This window comes from Homo sapiens, chromosome 15 (genome assembly GCF_000001405.40).
Source record: "Homo sapiens chromosome 15, GRCh38.p14 Primary Assembly".
In the NCBI taxonomy this organism is placed as follows: domain Eukaryota; kingdom Metazoa; phylum Chordata; class Mammalia; order Primates; family Hominidae; genus Homo; species Homo sapiens.
In genome coordinates, this window is record NC_000015.10 from 41,798,351 (window position 1) to 41,820,235 (window position 21,885).

Genomic DNA, 21,885 nt, shown 5'->3' on the forward strand with positions numbered 1-21,885 from the left:
CGGCTCACTGCAACCTCCACCTCCCAGGTTCAAATGAATCTCATGCCTCAGCCTCCTGATTAGCTGGGATTACAGGCACCAACCACCATGCCTGGCTAATTTTTGTATTTTTAGTAGAGATGAGGTTTCACTATGTTGGCCAGGCTGGTCTCAAACTTCTGACCTCAAGTGATCTGCCCACCTTGGCCTCCCAAAGTGCTGGGATTACAGGCGTGAGCAATTGTACCTGGCCCCTCTAGGAGTACTTTTAATTCTGCGGTTGGAGCAATAAGAGAGAAGGAGAAACTCCAAAACTGTCCTAATTGATTCTGAGCCTCCCCTCTCTAGAAACTGGCCTGGACTAAGAATAGACCGCCCTGCCACAAGCATCCACCCTAAGTGTTTCTGGTTTACATTGCCCTCTTAGGGCCTCTGAGACTCTCCTCAGGTTCGGTGTTTTCATAGCAGAGTGCTGTCTAGCCTGTTCACATGTCCGTCCTGCATTCTGAAGCCCCACTCTCTGAGCCAGGGGAGATCAGGGACATTCTTGAGCAGAGCCAGTGCAGGGAGTGCACAGTCCTGGAGCAGGTAAAGACCTGGAGCAGCAAGTGAAAGACCCAGAGCAGAGGATGACATGGAGTGACAGCAAGAGGTTAGAGGGAAGTCTCAATCTCACTTGGCATCATCTAGCAGAAAGACCAATGAATTAATTTGAGGTTAGTTCGTGTGGGTCCTGAGGCCTGCAGACAGTGTGGGGTAACAATACTAATGATGAGAGTGATGAGTGTCTCCCGTGGCCGTGTCCTCTCTGAATCTCTGAGCATTTTATCTTTCATCTCTGTGGGAGTTGCGGCTTAGTAATAATAATTAGAGTACCCTGAGCATCGGTGCTTTGTAGAACACAGCATTAAGCCCTGTTTCTGCCTCCTTGGAGTGTAGTCTGTATGAACTGGCAGACATTTGGGAGGTGGAGCCCTCTGACAGAGGGGAAGAACATGATAGAATGCAAAGGTCAGGGATATTCTGAGTCACCTAATTGATACCTAACATTCTTTTGGCTCTTGGTAGGTCAGAGTGGCCTTTCCTTCATGCCTGCCAAAGCACAAAGATCAGTGGCCTCACCCAAGTCTCACAGACCCAAGAGTCTAGTCTGGGGATCCCAGGCTCTAGCTTATACATGGTACCTTCCTGGTTTTGGGGAATGCTTGTTCCTCTGTGGCCATGAGTTATGCTTTAACGAGTTGGTGTTCTTTCCTGTGGTACCAGCAGACTGAGCCCTGCCGAAAATAGGTGATGCACGCTGGGTTTTTCCCGTGTGATCAAGAAGCCCGGTGGGCAGAACAGAAGAAGCTGCAGAAGTCATAGCTCCATTCTCCTGAAAACATGGGTGTCTGGAAAGTAGCCAGTGCCTCAGGATGGTCCCAAGTACCTTCAGCACCTTCTTCCCAAACACACTCTGTCTGTAACATGTCACTTCTCTCTTCCTCTAACAGGTGACCTTGGAGAAGGTGCTGGGAATTACAGTGTCTGGAGGCAGAGGACTTGCCTGTGACCCCCGATCAGGTTTAGTTGCTTACCCAGCAGGGTAAGTAAGCGCCTTGGAAGAGATCTTGATGCATGGGAATTTATAGCCACGCTAGAGCAGTTGGGATGGGCAGGGATTTTCTGGTATCTTCTGGAAGATAGATACAGGTTAATGTTTTGTTGTCATTTTTGTAAAGAGACGCAGGACCAGGTAAAGGTTCTTTGTCGGGTGCTGTCATTGTTGCCATCCTGTGCTGCTTTTCAGTTATCTACCCCACCTCCCACACACAGATTTACACTTTATGTTACACACAGTTCCCAGCACCATCTTCAGTAACTACCTTCCAGTCATTTAAAAAACAGCTTTATTGAGATGTAATTCACATACCATATAACTCACTATTTAAAATACCCAATTCAGTAGTTTTTTAGTATATTCACAGAGTTGTGCACCCATCACCACAATCAAATTTAGGACATTTTCATGACCTTGTTCCCTTTTTTTTTTGAGACAGGTTCTGGCTCTGTTGCCTAGGCTGGAGTGCAGTGGCTCGATGTTGGCTCACTGCACCTCCGCCTCCGACACTCAAGCAATCCTCCCACCTCAGTCTCCCGAGTAGCTGGGACTACAGGCGCACTGCCCCATGCCTGGCTAATTTTTTGTAGAGATGGGGTTTCACCACATTGCCCAGGCTGGTGTTGAACTCCTGAGCTCAAGCCATCCACCTGCCTCAGCCACCCAAAGTGCTGGGATTACAGGCGTGAGCCACTGTGCCTGGCCCCATTCCTATCAGTCACTTTTCATTCCCACCCCCACCTTACCAGACCTTCATCCCTAGGCAACCACTGTCTCCATTAATTTGCCTATTCTGGATATTTCATATAAACGGAATCAGGTAACACTGTATTTGGCCTTTTGTAACTGGCTTCTTTTTGTTGCCCAGCCTGGAGTGCAGTGGTATGATCATGGCTGACTGCAGCCTCAGCCTCCTGCCTTAGCCTCCTGAATAGCTGGAGCTATGGGTGTGTGCCACCATGCCCAGCTAATTTTTCCATTTTTTTGTAGAGACAGGGTCTAACTCTATTGCCTAGGCTAGTTTCGAACTCCTGGGCTCAAGCAGTCCTCCCGCTTCAGCTTCCCAAAGTGCTGGGATTACAGGCGTGAGCCACCACGCCTGGCCAGCATAATGTTTTCAGGGTTAATCTATGTCACAGCATGTATCGCTACCTTATTCCTTTTTGTGGCTGAATAATATTCCACTGGATGGATGTAGCACATTTTATCTATTCTTCAGTTGATGGACATTTGGGTTGTTTCTACTTCTTAGCTATTATGAATATTCGCCTGTTCTAGTCACTTTGAGAGAGATCAGTGCCATAGAAGAGAAGTAGGGGAGTGGGGCTACTATTCTTTCTCTTGCTGCCTTTTCACTCCTCTGCTCCTACAAGTGGGAAACCTCCAACCATAGTTTCTTCAGGCTTCTGGAGAAAGCTTGGAACCCCTCCTGCTTCTGGCTCACTCTGTTCCATGCTGATAGGCACAGGAATGTGAAAATGAGTAGCGCTACTGCTGTACCTTTCTTACTCTACCATTAACTTGTTAATGCCTAGTTCATTCCCCAATGTAATTTTCATAGCAACTTTTATAGTTTTTATACTAGATACATGATTTGCTTAGTTTTATCACCTCATCAAAAAAGCTTCCTTTATCAGGCTGGGCCCGGTGGCTCACGCCTATAATCCCAGTACCTTGGGAGGCCAAGGTGGGCGGATCACTTGAGGTCAGGAGTTGGAGACCAGCCTGGCCAACATGTTGAAACCCTGTCTCTACTAAAAACATAAAAAAATTTGCTGGGTGTGATGGCGGGTGCTGGTAGTCCCAGCTGCTTGGGAGGCTGAAGCATGAGAATCACTTGAACCCAGGAGGTGGAGGTTGCAGTGAGTGCAGATTTCGCCACTGCACTCCAGCCTGGGCGACAAAGAGAGACTCTGTCTTAAAAAAAAACAAGCCACCACCAAAAAAAGCTACCTTTATCAATCAAGTACAGTCATGTGTCACTTAATGATGGGGATATGTTCTGAGAAATGTGTCATTTGGCAGTTTCGTTGTTGAGTGAACATTACAGAGTATACTTACACAAACCCTAGATGGTATAGCCTACTACATACCTAGGCTACATGGTGTAGCCGGTTGCGCCTGGGCTACAAACCTGCACAGCAGGTTACTGTACTGAATACTGTACATAATCCTAAGACAATGGTATTTGTATATTTAAACATAGAAAAAGTATGGTTAAAATATCATATAAAATATATTTTAAAAAGGCACACCTGTATAAGGCACTTACCATGAATGGAGTTTCCAGGACTGGAAGTTGTTCTGGGTGAGTCAGTGAGTGAGTGGTGAGTGAGTGTGAGTGCCAGAAACATTACTGTACACTTTACAAACACTGTACACTTGGCCATACTAAATTTATTTTAAAAACATACATTCAATAATAGATTAACCTAACTTACTGTAACTTTCTTACATTTTATAAACTTTTTTTTTTAACTTCTTGACTCTTGTAGTAACACTTAGCTTAAAACACAAACACAGTACAGCTATACAAAAATATCTTTCTTTTATCTTTTTTCCGAGATGGAGTCTCCCTCTGTCACCCAGGCTGGAATGCAGTGGCACGATCTTAGCTCACTGCAACCTCTGCCTCCTGGGTTCAAGTGATTCTCCTGCCTCAGCCTCCTGAGTAGTTGGGATTACAGGCTCCTGCCACCACGCCTGGCTAATTTTTGTATTTTTAGTAGAGATGGGGTTTCGCCATGTTGGCCAGGCTGGTCTTGAACTAATGACCTCAAGTGATCAGCCCTCCTTGGCCTCCCAAAGTGCTGGCATTACAGGCATGAGCTACTGTGCCTGACCCAAAAGTATTTTCTTTTTATCTTCTATAAGCTTTAAATGTTGTTTTTAACTTTTTAAACTTTTTTGTTAAAAACAAAGACACAAACACACACATTAGCCTAGCGCATAGAACTACATAGGGTCAGGATCATCAAGATGTCACTAAGTGACAGGAATATTTTAGCTCCATTATAATCTTACGGGACTACTGTCATACATGCCCTTCGCTGTTGACCAAAATGTTATTATGTGACGTATGACTGTACTTATTCTATGCCAGGTACTTTTTAAGCACTTTATATGAATTATTTAATACTCTGAGCAACTATTATCACCCTCATATTTTAGAGGAGGAAATTGAGATCCAAAGAGGTCAAGCAGGCCAAGTGCAGTGGCTCACGCCTATAATCCTAGCACTTTGGGAGGGCAAGGTGGGCGGATCACCTGAGGTCAGGAGTTCAAGACCAGCCTGGCCAACATGGTGAAATCTTGTCTCTAGCAAAATACAAAAATTAGCCTGGCGTGATGGCGGGTGCTGGTAGTCCCAGTTACTCGGGAGGCTGAGCTGGGAGAATCGCTTGAACCTGGGAGACGGTGGTTGCAGTGAGCCGAGATCGTGCCACTGCACTCCAGCCTGAGCGGCTGAGCAAGACTCCATCTCAAAAAAAAAAAAAAAAAAAAAAGGTTAAGCAGGCAGGGTGCAGTGGCTTTGGGAAGCCAAGGTGGGAGGATTGCTTGAGACCAAGAATTTGAAACCAGCCTGGGCAACATAGTGAGAACCCTGTCTCTACCAAAAAGTAAAAATAAAAAAAATTAGCTGGGTATGGTGGCATGTGCCTGTAGTCCTAGCAACTGGGGAGGCTGAGGCAGGAGGATTGCTTGAGCCCAGGAGGTGAAGGCTGCAGTGAACTATGATCGTGCCATTGCACTCCAGCTTGGGTGACACAGTGAAACCCTGCCTCTTAAAAAAACCAAAAGGGTTAAGGAGTTTGCTTGAGGTAACATAGCTAGTGTGTGTAATGGGGTTCTAACCCAAGTAGTATGACTGTAGAGCTCTGATTGTTAAAATGGCACAGAGTAGGGGGAGACCACACTGTTTTTTTTTGAGACAGAGTTTCATTCTTCTTGCCCAGGCTGGAGTGCAATGGCACGATCTCAGCTCACCGCAACCTCCGCCTCCTGGGTTCAAGCAATTCTCCTGCCTCAGCCTCCAGAGTAGCTGGGATTACAGGCATGCGCCATCATGCCCAGCTAATTTTGTATTTTTAGTAGAGATGGGGTTTCTCCATGTTGGTCAGGCTGGTCTCAAACTCCCGACCTTAGGTGATCTGCCCACATTGGCCTCCCAAAGTGCTGGGATTACAGGTGTGAGCCACTGTGCCCGGCCACTTTCTGCTTATTTTTAACAAATTGCTTTTCCTCTAAGCTGCCTACCTGCCCTTTGAATGAGAAGAGCCCCATTTATGGGCAGCTCAGTCTGTGCAAGGGAGACTTCTGCCCCTGGGTTTGGGGTCAGTGTCTCTCCCAAGTGGTCCTCTGGTGTTTAATGGCTGCAGTAAGGGTGCTGTGGGAGCCACACGGGCTCTGCCTGGCAAAGGCTGGGCTAGGCTCCATTTTCCCCTAGAGAAGCAAGCTGATGGAAAGACCTCTCTACTGGATAAGTTTGTGCAGCCTGCCTCAGGGGAATTCCACTTGTTCTTGCCTCTGCCTGGGAAAGCCAGGTTCCCTCTTGTTGGAGGTGGGGCTGGGGCTGGATGTAGCACAGGCAAAAAAGGCCTTGGGGTGCTGCTTGGTGCATGCTGAGACCTGTGTCCCTGCCCTGGAGAGTGTGGAGTCCTGCCCGCTTTCTTCCTCACACACCCCTGGACTCCAGGCCTGGCCTTTAAGGGCATGTGCTTATGCATGTTTATGAGCAGGTCTCAGCCCAGTGCATGTGCCTGGGAGTCATGATCCTTCCAGATGGTGTACAGGCTTTCCTGATGGAACCTCTAGTAGGTTTCCTAAGCGTGTATGCTTGGCTTAGGCCATCCCTGGGCAGTGCCCCTAATCTGTTCCCTGACCTTTTGATTTCTTAGAACTTGAAGTTGTCTGTGCAAATGGCTTCTTTTCTGGGTGTTTGAGTTTTGCTGTGTTCTAGAACTCCCTGATGTGCTGCTGTGATGTTGGGGGCCACCAGATTCTGTGTGAGCACAAGCAGGTTCTTCACCTCCCTCCTTGTCTCCCTGCTTTTCTTATCTGATCATCCTTACACTGCCCCCAGCCCCCACGCTCTTGTTCCTCCTGTGCCTGTTGCTTTGGGAGCCAGCTCAGGTATCCTAGAAACAAGGAGAGAAACAAAACTCAGAAAATTCTCTGAGGCCCGGAGGCGAATATCAAACCAAAACAAAGTTTTCTGAAAGGAAATGGAACAGCACAGGAAAGGAGGGTGGGCAGTGTGTCAGGCAGAGGTGGGTAGGAGCTCCAGGCTGAGCATGGAGCCTGTCCTAGTGGCTCCTACATCCCTTGGCCGTTGTTTCCCCACGGGAAGCCCCCCTACTAGAGGATGCCAGACAGCCCCTTTGAGAGACTTAATTGAGTTGAACACCCTTAATTGAGTTGGGCCTTTTCCTCAGCCAGCTGGTGGAAGGTTGATGGGCCTTCAAGCCCAGCACAGCCCCTGTGCCCCTGTGCCCCTGTGCCCAGTCCTGAGAATGGGTTTCTCCTGGCTCCTATGCCAGAATGGCCTGGGTGAGTGCCCTGCGCACAGCTGCTCCTCTCCCGCTGGGATGGGAAGTGTCCCAGCAAGGTGACGGGGTGTATCTGGCAGCTAAGAAGAGACCTCTTGGTTGATTTAAGTGGGGAGGAGAAGAGGGAACCCCTGCTCTCCTGAGGAGGCCCTCCATTTCCTCAGCCCATGTTAAAATTGATTCTGAGATCCTCAGCTTTGAAGCATTGCACTGGGTGTGACAGAATTCTCCTCCTGAACTGTGTTCTCGTGACACCTGAGCTGAAGGAACACAGAGCTACCTTCTTACTTGCTGTAGGGTATTCGCCAGGGACAGTAGAGAGACCAGGTGGGCCTGAGAGAAGAAAAGGTTGGGACTTGGTGCCCAGGATCATGCAGTGTGTTAGCAGACAGGCCTGTGACCTCAGTGTTCTGCTCTTTCCACCTCTACACTGCCCTTGAGCATCAAGGAGTCCTAAATGCCTGAGGTACAGGAGAACCATGGACCTCTCCCCAGGGCCCTCATTCACACTCTGCTACCCAGGAGGTTCCTTGGCAGCCAGGGCTTTGAGATCTTGCCCCTAGTGACTTGAAGACATATTCACTTGTTTACAAATAATTACTGAGGGCCTATCGTCTAGGCCCTGGGAAATTAACAGTAAGTAAAACAGACCAAAAATACCATCCTCACAGAACTGGCAGTCTGGTGTGTGAAGATGGATCCCCACCCCCAGTGTAAGTTATAAGCGTGATTACAAATTGATGTGTGCTTTGGAAACAGTAGAAGCGGTAGCAGTGACGGAGGTAGGGTTGTAATGATAAATAGGGCTGGAGGGCGACATTTGAGCGAGGCCAGAAGCCCCTTTGGCATGCTTCTGTGAGTCATTCTCAGATTTTACCTGGTCTGAAAGAAAACAATTCAAAGGCCCAGGGTCCCTGGTTGACCTTGTGTGTCCTGCTCCCTGTGTCTGTGCTGCCCCATGCATAGCTCATCCCATCTGGGGGATGGAGAGTGGTAGGAGGTGGATCCTATGGGAATCCTGGGCTCTTTGTGGTAGCAGCAGGCCTGGACCTGTGTAGGGAAGGGGGATGTTGAAGGCTTGGCCCTTCCTGGGCAGTGGGCCCAGCACCTGGCACTGGTACTCCACAGCGTGACTCCCCCAGGCTGAGGCCTTACGTCCTTCTGTGAGAGTGAGCAGCCGCCCTGCACCCTCAGGTGCTGAGTTGCAGGACTCAGCTGATTGGTCCAACCCAGCCCTTGGCATGTGGTGGATCCCAGCCAGCACTGAGCAAGGGCTCACCCTGCTGGGCAGGGTCAGGGGATGTGGAGAGAAAGATTGATACAAACTGTGCCCCGCACTCCTCTCCCCAGCTGACCTAGGAGCTTGCTCAGAGTTCACCAAGAAGGCTGAGAGGGCTCCTTGGTGCTTTTGAGAACAGGTCAGGAGGGCCTCAAGTCAAGCACACAAGGAGCCCTGGCTATGCTGCTCTCACTTCAGCATCTGCGTTATCGTCCCTGCATGTGTAGCTGCGACCGTGGTTGCATGCTGTCTTTCTCTTGTTGGATGGCTTCCAAATATCAATAATTAGAAATAAAAATAGTTGCTTAAGGGATGACCTCTGTGTGTTTCCTTTTCTTGCTTAGCTCTTCCATGGCACACCTGAGAATTTCTTAGGCTATACTGGGGGCAAGGGGATGTTAGAGGAGGGAGAAATTGCCTCATTGCCTCTAGCCAGTCATCCTTCTATCTACGTAGTGTTCCTACACACACACACATGCATCATTCACCCTTCTTCCACCATGGAGCTGAACATAGGAGAAGGAGGAAACAGAGGATATTGTGTCCCAGGAAGACTGAGTTTGTATGCAGTGACTTGGAAAGTGTTTTAAGCAGTCTGATGCACTACCCTTTAAAGGCTGAAATGCTGCTTTGGGATGAGAATTAAGGGAAAACTCATAAACTTGCAAATAGATCCCAGTTTTTCTGGATTTGGAATATGGTTGGCTGGATTATGCATCGAGTCAATTCAATTAGATCAACTCTCAGCTGAAGCCCTTTACTGTGGTTCCTGTGTAACTAATCAGAAGGCTAGGGAACCTGTCCCCATTCAGACTAGAGCCTTTGCTGGAGAGAGGAGTCTGTAGAGGGCCTCAGGTCAGCACAGATTGCAGGAAGGTTCAGAAAACGTTGTTTAACCACTGAGAACTTTCTGGGCTCTGAATTCATGATAGTGGCAGGCCTGGGGCTATTACTTTTCATATACTGCATAAAGTATTAAAACCTAAATATCTAAATTTGGCTGGGCACAGTGGCTCACGCCTGTAATCCCAACACTTTGGGAGGCCAAGGTGGGTGGATCACCTGAGGTCAGGAGTTTGAGACCAGCCGACCAATATAGTGAAATCACATCTCTACTAAAAATATAAAAAAATTAGCCAGGCTTGGTGATGGGTGCCTGTAATCCCAGCTACTGGGGAGGCTGAGACAGAAGAATTGCTTGAACGCGGGAGGTGGAGGTTGCAGTGAGCCGAGATCACGCCACTGCACTCCAGCCTGGGTGATAGAGTGAGACTCCATCTCAAAAAAAAAAGAAAAAAAAATCTAAATCTGTGCACTTTGAACTCTTATAATTTTCTTTCTTTCTTTCTTTTTTTTTTTTTTTTTTGTAGACCTAGTCTCGCTCTGTCACCCAGGCTGGAGTGCCATGGCGTGATTTTGGCTTGCTGCAAGCTCCGCCTCCTGGGTTCACGCCATTCTCCTGCCTCAGCCTCCCCAGTAGCTGGGACTACAGGTGCCCGCCACCACGCCTGGCTAATTTTTGTATTTTTAGTAGAGATGGGGTTTCACCATGTTGGCCAGGATGGTCTCGATCTCCTGACCTCGTGATCTGCCAGCCTCAGCCTCCCAAAGTGCTGGGATTACAGGCGTGAGCCACCACTCCCGGCTCTGTTATAATTTTCGTTTGCCTGCTCAAGAGCGATGGGGTGCAGAGTTTCCAGAGCCATCTTGCTTTTGTCGTACTTTTTTTTTTTTTGAGACAGAGTCTAGTTCTTGTCGCCCAGGCTGGACTGCAATGGCATGATCTCAACTCATTGCAACCTTCACCTCCTGGGTTCAAGCAATTCTCCTGCCTCAGCCTCCCAAGTAGCTGGGATTACAGGTACCCACCACCACACCTGGCTTATTTTTGTATTTTTAGTAGAGATGGGGTTTTACCATGTTGGCCAGCCTGATCTCGAACTCCTGACCTCAGGTGATCTGCCTGTCTCAGCCTCCCGAAGTGCTGGGATTATAGGCATAAGCCACTGTGCCCGGCCTGTCATACTTTTTAAAACCCTCCTGACTGTGACATTCTAGAAGGGGAAGCAGGAGACTAGAAAGTGGTATAAAAAGAGAAAGGAGTTCAAGACCAGCCTGGGCAACATGGCAAAACCCCATCTCTACAAAAAATACAAAAATTAACTGGGTATGGTGGCATGTGCCTGTAATCCCAGCTACTTGGGAGGCTGAGGTGGGAGGATTGCTTGAGCCCAGGAGGTCGAGGCTGCAGGGAGCTGTGATGGTGCCATGGTGCCACTGCAGTCCAGCCTGGGTGACAGAGCGAGACCCTGCCTCAAAAAAAAAAAAAAAAATGAAGGAAGGGCTGAGCCAGGGTGGCATGAGCCTGTAATCCCAGCTACTTGGGAGGATGAGGCAGGAGGATTACTTGAGCCCAGGAGTTCAAGACCAGCTTGGGCAACATAGTGAGACCTTGTCTCAAAAAAACAGAGAAAGGAAACAGGAACAAGGAAAGAGTAGGAAATGGAGAAAGAAGGAGGAAAAAAAAACAGGAAGAGTTGAGGGGTTAGAGGAGAAAATGATGTGACTCAGGAATTCCACAGCTGTTGGTCAGCCTGGCAGTTCTGGGCATATCTAGTCACATCGGAGGTCCCAGTGTCCCCAAATTTGCATATCAAAGTGGTTTATTGAGCCCAAGATGCTTAGCCCTCACTAGCAACTTGCACCTACCTCCCTTCAAGTTTCCAGCCAGTAGTGGCGTTCAGATATGGGGGCTGCAGTGGGGTCCCACTAGGGAAAATTAGGTCTGGGGGAAGTAGCTGTCTCCTCTTTCTCTCCTCCCTGCCTTTCCTATTCGCAGTCTCCAGGCTTGCTCTTGTCTGCTATTTCCAGTGCTAATGAAGAGTTGAGGCAGAAGGGGCAACGGGCCAGGGCCTGCTGACAGCCAGGAAGCCTAAAGAGAAGCTGCCTGGCTATTGGCCTTTGGCTTCTTGCCCCCGATTCCTACTACCCAGCTTCCATCTCCGGAGCTGCCTCTGGAAAGGCAGGACCTGATTCCATCCAGCAGCCTTGCTGCCTGACGGGAGAGGTTGCCCCCACCTTCTCTGTGAGGCAGGCAGAGTCCCTGATTCTGCTTCTGGCAGTCGGGGGGTTCTTCTCAGGTTTCTTGGGGCCAGAGATTCTCAGGGTGGGGCTTGGGACCTCTGTGGCACTGTAAGGCTTTCCCAGGCCTTCTCAGGCTATCTCTATCCCCCACCCCATCTTACTGAGCCTCTCTGCTGTGTGGCCCCTGCCTCGCCTCCCACTTCCTTCCTTATTCAACACATGGTGTGGGGGGCCAGCTCTTGCCAGGTACACACGTGGGTGCACACGTGAGAGGCCTTACATCTTAAGGCACACATGCTTGATACACGTGTGGCCCCAAGCCTGTGAACGGGCTGTGCACCCGAGGCCTGCTTTGCCCAAATCACATTTCTTCTTCCCTCCTACACCCCTTCCTGGGGTATGCACAAGGGCTGCGGGATGGCCTGTGTCCCTGCTGCCCTTTGTGGGTATGGCCAGAGATAGAGCTGGTATTTAGGGGCCTGGCTGGGGGGACAGGCTTCCAGGGAACCCTTTCACCCTCATGGGGCTACAGAGATAGTTCCTCTTGGGTGGGGAAAAGGAGCAAGAACAGGTTGCCAGGAGAAAGCAGTGGAGGCTGGGCACGGTGGCTTATGCCTGTAATCCCAGCACTTTGGGAGGCAGATCACTTGAGTTCAAGAGTTTGGGACCAGCCTGGGCAACGTGGCAAGATCCCGTGTCTACAAAAAAAAAAAAAAAAAAATACAAAGATTAGCTTGCATGGTGGCACATGCCTGTGGTTCCAGCTACTAGGGAGGCTAAGGTGGGAGGATTGCTTGAACCTGCAAGTTGAGGCTGCACTGAGCCATGTTTGCACCACTGCACTCTGGCTGGGATGACAGAGTAAGATCCTGTCTCAAAAAAAAAAAAAAAAAAAAAAGAAAAGGAAAAAAACAGTGGAGCCCTTCTGAGCTCTTTCTACCCAGCTCCCTCTGCCGGGTGACTGGAAGTCCTGGGTGGCCTGGAGGGCTCCTGGGGGAGCTGTGGTTTGCTGCTGAGCCTGTTGTCTGCTCATCTCCTCAGGTGTGTGGTTGTGTTGTTCAATCCCCGGAAACACAAACAGCACCACATCCTCAACAGTTCCAGGTAAATGGGCTGGGGTCCTCAGGATACCTCTTCCTTCTGGGAGCTATGAGAAGGGCACTGTCTAGAGTCTCTATGGCTCTGGGGGCTGGGACCTGGTTGGGTCCTAAAGCCAGATGGGGAAGTGCCACATGTGCCATTGGTGTCTGCTGGTCTCACCTTTTGAGAGGCTGGGAGGGGGCTAGGCTTAGGCCAGGCTGCCAGTGCCCCTCTGAGCCTGCCCCATCTCTTGCAGGAAAACCATCACTGCCCTTGCCTTCTCCCCTGATGGCAAGTACTTGGTCACTGGAGAGGTGAGTGAGGAAGAGGGCTGGCAGTACTGTAAAGAGGGCAGGTGTCCTGGCCTCCGCAGAGAGCTGCGGTCCTAGGCCTGCTGTCACTTTGGCTTCTGAAACAGACACCAAATCCTGGTTTTCGCTATACCTTAAAATAGTGGTTCTCAAGCTTTAGTGTACATCAGAATCACTTGGAGGGCTTGTGAAAGCACACATCACTAGCCTGGTCCTCAGAGTTTCTGATTCTGTAGGTCTGGGATGGGAGTCTGAAATGTGCATTTGTAACAAGTTCCCAGAGAGTGCTGATCCTGCTGGTGAAGGAAGCGTGCTTTGGAAACCACTGCCTTAACTATTCCTTACCCCCGGGGGCCCCCTGCTGGGCTCAGGAGGAACGCTTCTGTCCTGGCGGCGTAGTCTTACTAGGGGCAGAAATAGACCTGAGTGGTAGTGGCTCTCAATGCCGGCTGCCCATCAGAACCATTCAGGGAGCTTTGAACAACCTGAAGTACAGACGGCCACCCAGAGATGCTGACTAAAATCCGGGGCCACTTTCTTCCTGGTAATCACTGTTGCCCTCAGATCTTTATCATATTTCCTCTATACCCTGCCCTGACTTTTGGCTGGGGAAGTGATGGTATCTAGTAGCTGAGGAGGCGAGGGCCCCGCTCTGGAAGACGAAGTGGGGCTGTATGCCTGTGGAGAAGTCAAGAACTCACTTCCAGTTCTTGCCTCCCTGCAGAGTGGGCACATGCCTGCCGTGCGGGTTTGGGACGTGGCAGAGCACAGCCAGGTGGCCGAGCTGCAGGAGCACAAGTATGGTGTGGCTTGTGTGGCCTTCTCTCCTAGCGCCAAGTACATTGTCTCTGTGGGCTACCAGCATGACATGATCGTCAACGTGTGGGCCTGGAAGGTGAGTGGCTGGGTGGGGTGGCCTGGCAGCCTCACAGGGGTCAAGTGTCAGCTGGGGAGGCAAGAGACTGCTGACCTGCACTGCTCCATTCCACCCCACTGAACCATTCTCATTCTAGAAAGTTATTTGAAGCAGAAAAGAGCAACTGTGTGGCCAAGCATGTTGGTTGAAGGGGCTAGCTTTATGCCTTCAAAGACTTCTGCAGGAAACGAATCTTTTCAGCTCCTCTAGAAAGGGATTATTTCCCTACCCCTCTTTTTCTGGCCAGTAAATTCTGGAAAGAAACACTTTGTCAAGTACAAATTCTAATTCTCCTCCATTCTCTGAGTCACTGTCTTCTTAGCTCCAAGAGACAGAGCCTTGATTCTTCCTTTGGCATCCCCTCCAGAAAAACATTGTGGTGGCCTCCAACAAGGTGTCCAGTCGGGTGACAGCAGTGTCCTTCTCTGAGGATTGCAGCTACTTTGTCACTGCAGGCAACCGACACATCAAATTCTGGTATCTCGATGACAGCAAGACCTCAAAGGTGAGGTGCTGAAGCTGGGAGTAGCCACCAAGGCCCCTGGCAGGGCCTGCCCAGCCCAACCCAGGAGACTCTGCCCCACTTGGGCCTCTCTCTGCATTCCCAGCAGTCATGCAGAAGTTTTGGATGAGCCAGATGCTGTCTGGGCTGAGGAGTAGGCCCAAAGAGCAAGGAGGTGCTGGAGGCGTCCCCTGTACTCTCCTAGGGCCCAGTTTCCAGGGGCAGGCTCTGGGGTGGATGGGGGTGTAACAGTGGTGTGCCTCCACAGGTGAATGCCACTGTGCCCTTGCTGGGCCGCTCAGGGCTGCTGGGAGAGCTACGGAACAACCTATTCACTGATGTGGCCTGTGGCAGAGGAAAAAAGGCGGACAGTACCTTCTGCATCACGTCCTCAGGGCTGCTGTGCGAGTTCAGTGATCGAAGGCTTTTGGACAAGTGGGTGGAGCTGAGGGTAAGTACCTCCGTCCCCAGGGGTAGGGTCTGCTCATGTCTCAGCTCAGGGGAGAACTAGTGCCCAGGGCTTCAGACTAGGGGCTGGTCCCTTGTGCATACGGGAGATCCCAGGAGAACGAAGCTTGGGGGAGCTAGAGCTTGGCCCATTTCCAGCCCTTGGTGATCTGTATAACTGCCTCCTCTCTGCTCTTTCTGTCTCTTTCCCCTGCTTTCCTCTTCCGCTCAGAACATAGACAGCTTCACAGTAAGTGGTGCCTGCACCTTCCTCTCTTTCTCATGCTATTTCTTTCTCTTCACTGGGCTTTTCCTACTGGATCCTCTGGTGCCTAGAAGAATCCTCGGTTCCTAATCCCTGGCTGGACAGGGCTGAGGGGCTCAGAACAGGGCAGCTGGGCGGCTTTTCCCTTGCCCCTGCCTTGGCCGGTCCCTCCTCTTGGCAGGTGGCTGTTGATGGGTGGGGAGGAGAGAAGACTGAGTGGGCAGGTGGCCTTGCTGAGCTGAGCCACTCTGCCCACAGACCACAGTGGCCCACTGCATCTCTGTGAGCCAAGACTACATCTTCTGTGGCTGTGCTGATGGCACCGTGCGCCTTTTCAACCCCTCTAACCTGCACTTCCTTAGCACCTTGCCCCGACCCCATGCTCTGGGGACAGACATTGCTAGCGTCACCGAGGCCAGGTGAGCTATGTGGGCCCCCCTTCCTCCATTTGTAGCCTTACCCCTGCCCAGTCTTTCTTGTCAGTGCCTCAGGGAGCAGGTGAAGAGTGTATTGATGCCCCAAAGATTATTGGGAACACCTCTTTAGACAGAAGAATTTGGGTTTATTGGTACTTGTTGCAACCAAGGAGACCCCACCCCATGGAGAACTGTGGAGAGTCTCAGTAAGTGGGTGTTAGGAGGGACATATGGGATTTGGGTTTGCGTTGGGTGATTTTAGGAATCGTTCAAGGGATTGAAGTATTCTGGTTGGATGCTGTCCGGAACTAGGGGCAATTCTACAGTGGAACATCTTGTTAATTTATCTAAGAGGTGAAGGAAAGGTATGGGGCTAAAGCTGTATTTGGTCAAGAAGCCGCCAGCAGTCATGTAGATGGGAAAGGCGGTGTTTGGTCATTGTCATGGTTCGTTGTGGTTTGTATGGTGATCTTGTTTTTATCTGTGCACAGAGTAGTCTTGTTTTTGTTTTGCCCCATCACAGCCATAGAAGTACCTTGTCTAACGTTGGTGTTCTGTGAAGCTGTGTTCATCCGAACACCATGGCCCAGCAGCTAGTGCTGGGTCAGGTTCCTGCTGATGGCTAGTAGGGGCTCCTTTCTTCTCTCAAGCAACTACTTCCAAACCTGCAGGTCCAGGGAGGGCTCCTCACACACTGCTCCTTCCATTGTGGATTGGCTTCTCTTTTCATTCCCTTCAGTCTGACCAGTGTGCCCTGTCCTCTCCCTACAGTCGCCTCTTCTCTGGAGTGGCGAATGCCAGGTATCCAGACACCATTGCCTTGACCTTTGATCCTACTAATCAGTGGCTGTCTTGTGTGTACAACGATCATAGCATTTATGTTTGGGATGTGAGGGACCCCAAGAAAGTGGGCAAGGTGTACTCGGCTCTGTATCATTCTTCCTGCGTCTGGAGTGTGGAGGTATGTGGGCTGGCTGGCTGGCTGGAGACTGGCCAGGTTGGCTGGGATACCATTTTGAGGACAGAAAATAGGGATCCCCAAGTATAATCTTAGATTCCTGCTGCCTCCCTGTTTCTCCAGTGACTTCCCTGGGATAGATCCTGGGGACTGAGTTTGAATGTTACAGGCTTCCCCAGTGTGCCCCATCCTTAGTTTTGCCTCGGTCATCTTGGACAAGTTATTGAATTTGACCAAGCCTCAGTTTCCTCACCTGTAAAATGGTGTACTTGATTCACCTAATTGTTCTAAGAATAAAATGAAATAATGTAAGTGGGAGACATAGAAGAGTGCCTGATATATAGTGGGTGCTTCCCCTTGGTCATGTTGAAGGGTATATACCAGTTATGTATGGCCTGTGACAGGCACTGGGCTAAGTCCTGGCCACCATTCCCTTTTTCGTCCCATTCCCTTCCATCTCCTTGGGTAGGCAGAGGACTGCTCCCGAATGGAGGTCTGATTGTGTTCCCTCGGCCTCTTCAGGTCTACCCCGAGGTGAAGGATAGTAACCAGGCCTGCCTGCCCCCCAGTTCCTTTATTACCTGCTCCTCAGACAACACCATCCGCCTGTGGAACACAGAGAGCTCCGGGGTGCATGGCTCCACCCTCCACCGAAACATCCTCAGCAGTGTGAGCCCTGAGGCTGTGGGGCCCCGCTTCACCCTCAGTGCCCCCATCCCCACAGCTATTGCACCTTGTTACTGGGAACTGGTCCCTAGGCCTTGGCCTTCCAGCCTTCATTTGGCTGTGCTCTGTGGTCCAAGGGTTTGTTTTGCTCAGCTTTCTTGCCCCTTGCAGCTGTACTGGTCAGGCCTGCCTCATCCACCTTTTCTAACCTGTTCCACTAGGACCTCATTAAAATCATCTATGTGGATGGGAACACCCAGGCCCTGCTGGACACAGAGCTGCCTGGAGGAGACAAAGCTGATGCATCCCTGTTGGATCCCCGCGTGGGCATCCGCTCGGTGTGTGTCAGCCCCAATGGACAGCATCTAGCATCAGGGGACCGTATGGGCACACTTAGGTAATGCCAGGCCCTGGGTGGGTACTGACTGCCTCTCATGGTGCAGAGTTGGGTATTTAGAACTTTAGGGAGGGTTTGGCTCAAAAAGATTGGGCAACAAGATACTTATTTACAAGGCAAAGATAATAACTTCACAATGAGTAAACCTAGCAGAAATCATCTTCACCAAGTGATCAAGGTTAACATCCTCATATCAACATCATTAAGCCCATGATAGGATGTACTAAGAAGGATGTGACAATGTTTCTGTGGTATTCTTACCAAAAATGCATAAACTCAATATAGGCGTGAGAAAACATCCGACAAACTCACATTGAGGTACATACCACAGAGTAACTGATCAATACTCTTCAAAAACGTCAAGATCATGAAAAGTAAGGAAAGACCAGAGAACTGTTACAGACCACAGAAGTCTAAGGAGAAGTAACTAAATGCAATTTGGATTCTGGATAGGATCTAGAGTCAAGAAAAAGGACATAGTAGGAAAACTGGTGAAATTTGAATAAGGTCTCTAATTAATAGTATTATACCAACATAAATTTCCTAGTTTTGATAATTGCACTATCGTTATGTAAGATGTTCACATTAGGGAAAGCTGGGTAAGGGAAATATAGACGCTCTCTGTTCTTTCAGCAACTTTTCTCTAAGCCTAAAAGTTCAAAAAAAGGAAAAAGGAGGAGAAAATGTAGCAGAGGAGGGGGCGTGAGTCCTTCCTGCGGCCTGGCCATGGCCTCTTCCCACCTCTCCTCATCTTTGCAGGGTGCACGAACTTCAGTCCCTGAGTGAGATGCTGAAGGTGGAGGCCCATGACTCTGAGATTCTGTGCCTGGAGTATTCTAAGCCAGACACAGGTTAGGAGAATGCCCGGAATGGCACAGGGCTCCTCCAGTCCTGCCGGTGCCACTTATATCTGTCCCGGCTCTTGGACGTGGGGTCGGTAATCTTTGGATCATTGGTGTCTTTGCTGGTTTAGAGGAAGACAGCTCTGTCCTTGCTCCATGGTTCACATGGCTTGGGGATATGGGGCTCAGTTCCCTTGGGGCTCTTTGCCAGGCCCAGATAAGGGCTGTTCAGGGCACTCATGGGCTGATGGAGTTCTTTCATCCCCAGGTCTGAAACTGCTAGCATCGGCGAGCCGGGACCGGCTGATCCATGTGCTGGATGCCGGGCGGGAGTACAGCCTACAGCAGACGCTGGACGAACACTCATCCTCCATCACTGCTGTTAAGTTTGCAGGTGCGGGCAGGGTGAATGAGACACATCCTGCCACTCTCACCCCTGCTGCCATCTGCCTCCCACCTCCATGAGAAGGGTCTGCCCATTGTGGGGGAGTGTTGGACAGCAGCTGGGAGGCCTGGAGCTGGTTGGGAAGATAGGTGGAACAGAGACTCTCAGTGCTGGGACTTGAGCCAACCAGGTTGGACTGAGGATAAGGAGACAGGAAAACCTGGGTTTCCAGGTTTAATTTAGTTGGTTTTCCCTGGCATGTAGAGTAGCTTGATGGGGGATCTCATGGAGGGAAGGTGGGAGGCAGGCTGCTCCCATGTGGTGAGAACAGTGGGAACAGCTGGGCTTCCCTCCTTCATAGCCAGTGATGGGCAAGTCCGCATGATCAGCTGTGGAGCAGACAAGAGCATCTACTTCCGCACTGCGCAGAAGGTGAGGGCGCTGGGCTTTCCTGAGAGGGGCGGGACAGGGCGGGGTCTGCCATTCCCTGCCTAAGGTTACAAGAGGTGAAGGGAGGCGCAAGTAGGGCTCTTGGGGCCTGGTGAGGCATTTGGGTGTGGGCCTGCCCACATGCTCCACCCCTGCAGTCTGGAGATGGAGTGCAGTTCACACGGACACACCACGTGGTGCGGAAGACGACCCTCTATGACATGGATGTGGAGCCCAGCTGGAAGTACACGGCTATCGGCTGCCAGGACCGAAATATTCGGTGGGCGTCCCCTCCTCAGACTCTGCCCACATTCCTTCATCTCCCTACGGGGTCAGCTCTGTGCAGCTAAGTTCCCACATCTGTCGTTCTGTACAGGACTTTGTACCCCCTTGAGCCTACAGTACTTTGCTTCACCCAAGAGGTGGTAGCCTGTTTGCTGCTGGGGGTAGCTCCCAGAGAGTGTAGACTGGGAGTGAAAGCTGGCATTTCCATCCCCCAGGCGTGTTCCACCTTCACCGCCTCCTCATGAGAAAGAGACTATGTTTCTTACAGGATATTTAACATCAGCAGTGGAAAGCAGAAGAAGCTGTTTAAAGGGTCACAGGGTGAGGACGGCACACTCATTAAGGTAAGGACCCAGAGGGGGTACTGGACAGGGGCTCGGGGACAGAGTGGTGCTGGGTGGGAGGGACTGGTACTTCCCATGTCCTCCAGCTGCACACCCTGCTACTCCTCAGGTGCAGACAGACCCCTCAGGGATCTACATTGCCACCAGCTGTTCTGACAAGAATCTCTCCATTTTTGACTTCTCCTCAGGCGAGTGCGTGGCCACCATGTTTGGCCACTCAGGTGAGTGTAGCCTGAATCCCCGAGTAGAAGCTGATACCTGCGTAAACCTGAGTGAGTTCCACCCCTGGAACTTCACTCTTCTATTAGTTTCTTGGGACCCGCAGAGCTACCTATCCCTACCCTGCAGCCAACCCCCGTGTCCACTGTTGGGATGGAGAGGACTTGGTTGGGAATTTAAGGTGGCTTATAGACCGTATTCTTTGTTCTTCACAGAGATTGTCACTGGCATGAAATTTAGTAATGATTGTAAACATCTCATCTCTGTGTCTGGGGACAGGTGAGCAGAAGCCAGCTTCCCTGAGAGGCAGATTCTTACTCTGCCACAGCACCCTGCCCTCCCCTCTCTCCATTTCAGTGATGTCTCTGGGAAGTGGGGTTAACAGGGATAGCTTTTGGCTGTGCTTGACCTGAAGTGGAGGGTGGCTCTGGTCTCCTTGCCATCCATGGATAAGGGGAACGAATGGCGCTAGCCATTCTACCTGCCCCTCCTTCAGCCAACTGTGTGGCTTTACCCCAGCTGCATATTTGTGTGGCGCCTGAGCTCTGAGATGACCATCAGCATGAGGCAGCGTCTGGCCGAGTTGCGCCAGCGTCAGCGGGGCGGCAAGCAGCAAGGACCATCCTCTCCCCAAAGGGCTTCTGGACCCAACCGGTGAGAACAGAATGTGGGCAAGTGATGGGTGGGTGTGCAGATGGCTTGCTGGGACCTCACTGCACTTCCTCCATGCTTTGGGCCTGCCATTCAGCAACTCTGTCTCCCAAGACCTTACCTCTCACACAAGGATCCATGATGTCAGCCTCTTCCCCCTGTTGAGTCTCCTCTCCCCCTATTGAGTCTCATCTTCCCCTCATTGAGTCTCCTCTTCCTTCTTCCCCCACTGAGCCTCCTCTCCCCCTATTGAGTCTCCTCTCCCCATGCCCTTCCTTGTCTCGGACTCAGGCACCAGGCCCCATCAATGCTGTCTCCTGGACCGGCTCTCTCATCAGACAGTGACAAGGAGGGAGAAGATGAGGGGACTGAAGAAGAACTTCCAGCACTGCCCGTCCTTGCCAAGAGTACCAAGAAGGCACTGGGTCTGTGGCAGTTGGGTGTGGGGGCAGACAGGCCCTAGTTGGTATAATGGCTAGATATGGTTTTTCTGAGACTGTGGGGTGAGAGCAGTGTGAGCTGAGGAAACTGAGGCATCACTGTGGCCACACAGGGTATGGGCTGATGGGGCCAGGGCTCCAGGGTTGGGTGGCGGGGGGGGGGCAGGAGACACTTCCTCTGACTGCCTGTTTCTGTCTAGCCTCGGTCCCCAGCCCAGCTTTGCCCCGAAGCCTGTCCCACTGGGAGATGAGTCGGGTGAGTCGCCATTGTTAAAATGTTCTTCCAAGGTTAGAGGAGGCAAAGGGAGCTGTGAGAACAGGGCTCTCTGGGCCTGGTAGGGTACTGGGGCATGGGGTCTGCCCACATGCTGCACTCGTGTGTCCAAGGAAGGCCTTGTCGGGGAAGTTGAAGCAGCTGGGCTGGTCCTGGGTGCGGGGGTGAAGAAAGCCCAGGTATTTCCTTCCTGTGGACCAGTTGGGGTGGATGGAGCACAGGGTTAGTCAGCACTGGGGAGGTGGGGCACTTGTTCAGCTGCCTGGTGCCTGGAAGTAAATATCATCAGAGAAGAGCTCAAGGTGGAGAGGACAAAGGACCCCTAAGCCAGATAGTTAGAACTAAAATGCAGGAAATCAAGGATCCAAAGAGCGGAGATCTGGAGAAACAGTTCTAAAGATCCCGGTTAGGAGGTAAGCGGAGAACTTCCAGAATAGTTAGAGGGAAAAGGCCATGAGGGGACCCATAACTCAGCGACTGCCCTGGGGTGGCCAAAGGGGGATCAAGGTGTTCAGAGCAAGTTCCCAAGCACCAGTACCTTCCGTTGTCAGCAACAGTTTCACAGAG

At 50.9% G+C, this 21,885-nt stretch overlaps 1 protein-coding gene across 5 annotated transcripts in view; it reads left to right on the plus strand.

The window, feature by feature from the left end:
* Nucleotides 1–21,885, plus strand: part of MAPKBP1 (mitogen-activated protein kinase binding protein 1) — a 53,372-nt gene that overhangs the window by 23,867 nt on the left and 7,620 nt on the right. For 2 of the 5 annotated variants that reach the window (NM_014994.3, NM_001265611.2), the window contains exons 3-22: nt 1,473–1,564; nt 12,533–12,595; nt 12,828–12,885; nt 13,607–13,777; nt 14,166–14,303; nt 14,569–14,751; nt 15,271–15,431; nt 16,200–16,389; nt 16,909–17,055; nt 17,274–17,449; nt 18,209–18,300; nt 18,560–18,685; nt 19,038–19,108; nt 19,264–19,385; nt 19,659–19,734; nt 19,844–19,955; nt 20,169–20,232; nt 20,473–20,607; nt 20,896–21,029; nt 21,245–21,300. In NM_014994.3, coding sequence (NP_055809.2) covers nt 1,473–1,564; nt 12,533–12,595; nt 12,828–12,885; nt 13,607–13,777; nt 14,166–14,303; nt 14,569–14,751; nt 15,271–15,431; nt 16,200–16,389; nt 16,909–17,055; nt 17,274–17,449; nt 18,209–18,300; nt 18,560–18,685; nt 19,038–19,108; nt 19,264–19,385; nt 19,659–19,734; nt 19,844–19,955; nt 20,169–20,232; nt 20,473–20,607; nt 20,896–21,029; nt 21,245–21,300 — 2,367 coding nt within the window. Of the gene's footprint in view, nt 1–1,472; nt 1,565–12,532; nt 12,596–12,827; nt 12,886–13,606; nt 13,778–14,165; nt 14,304–14,568; nt 14,752–14,979; nt 14,998–15,270; nt 15,432–16,199; nt 16,390–16,908; nt 17,056–17,273; nt 17,450–18,208; nt 18,301–18,559; nt 18,686–19,037; nt 19,109–19,263; nt 19,386–19,658; nt 19,735–19,843; nt 19,956–20,168; nt 20,233–20,472; nt 20,608–20,895; nt 21,030–21,244; nt 21,301–21,885 lie in introns of all 5 variants that reach the window. The other 3 variants (NM_001128608.2, NR_049761.2, NR_049762.2) reach the window with 3 other exon arrangements.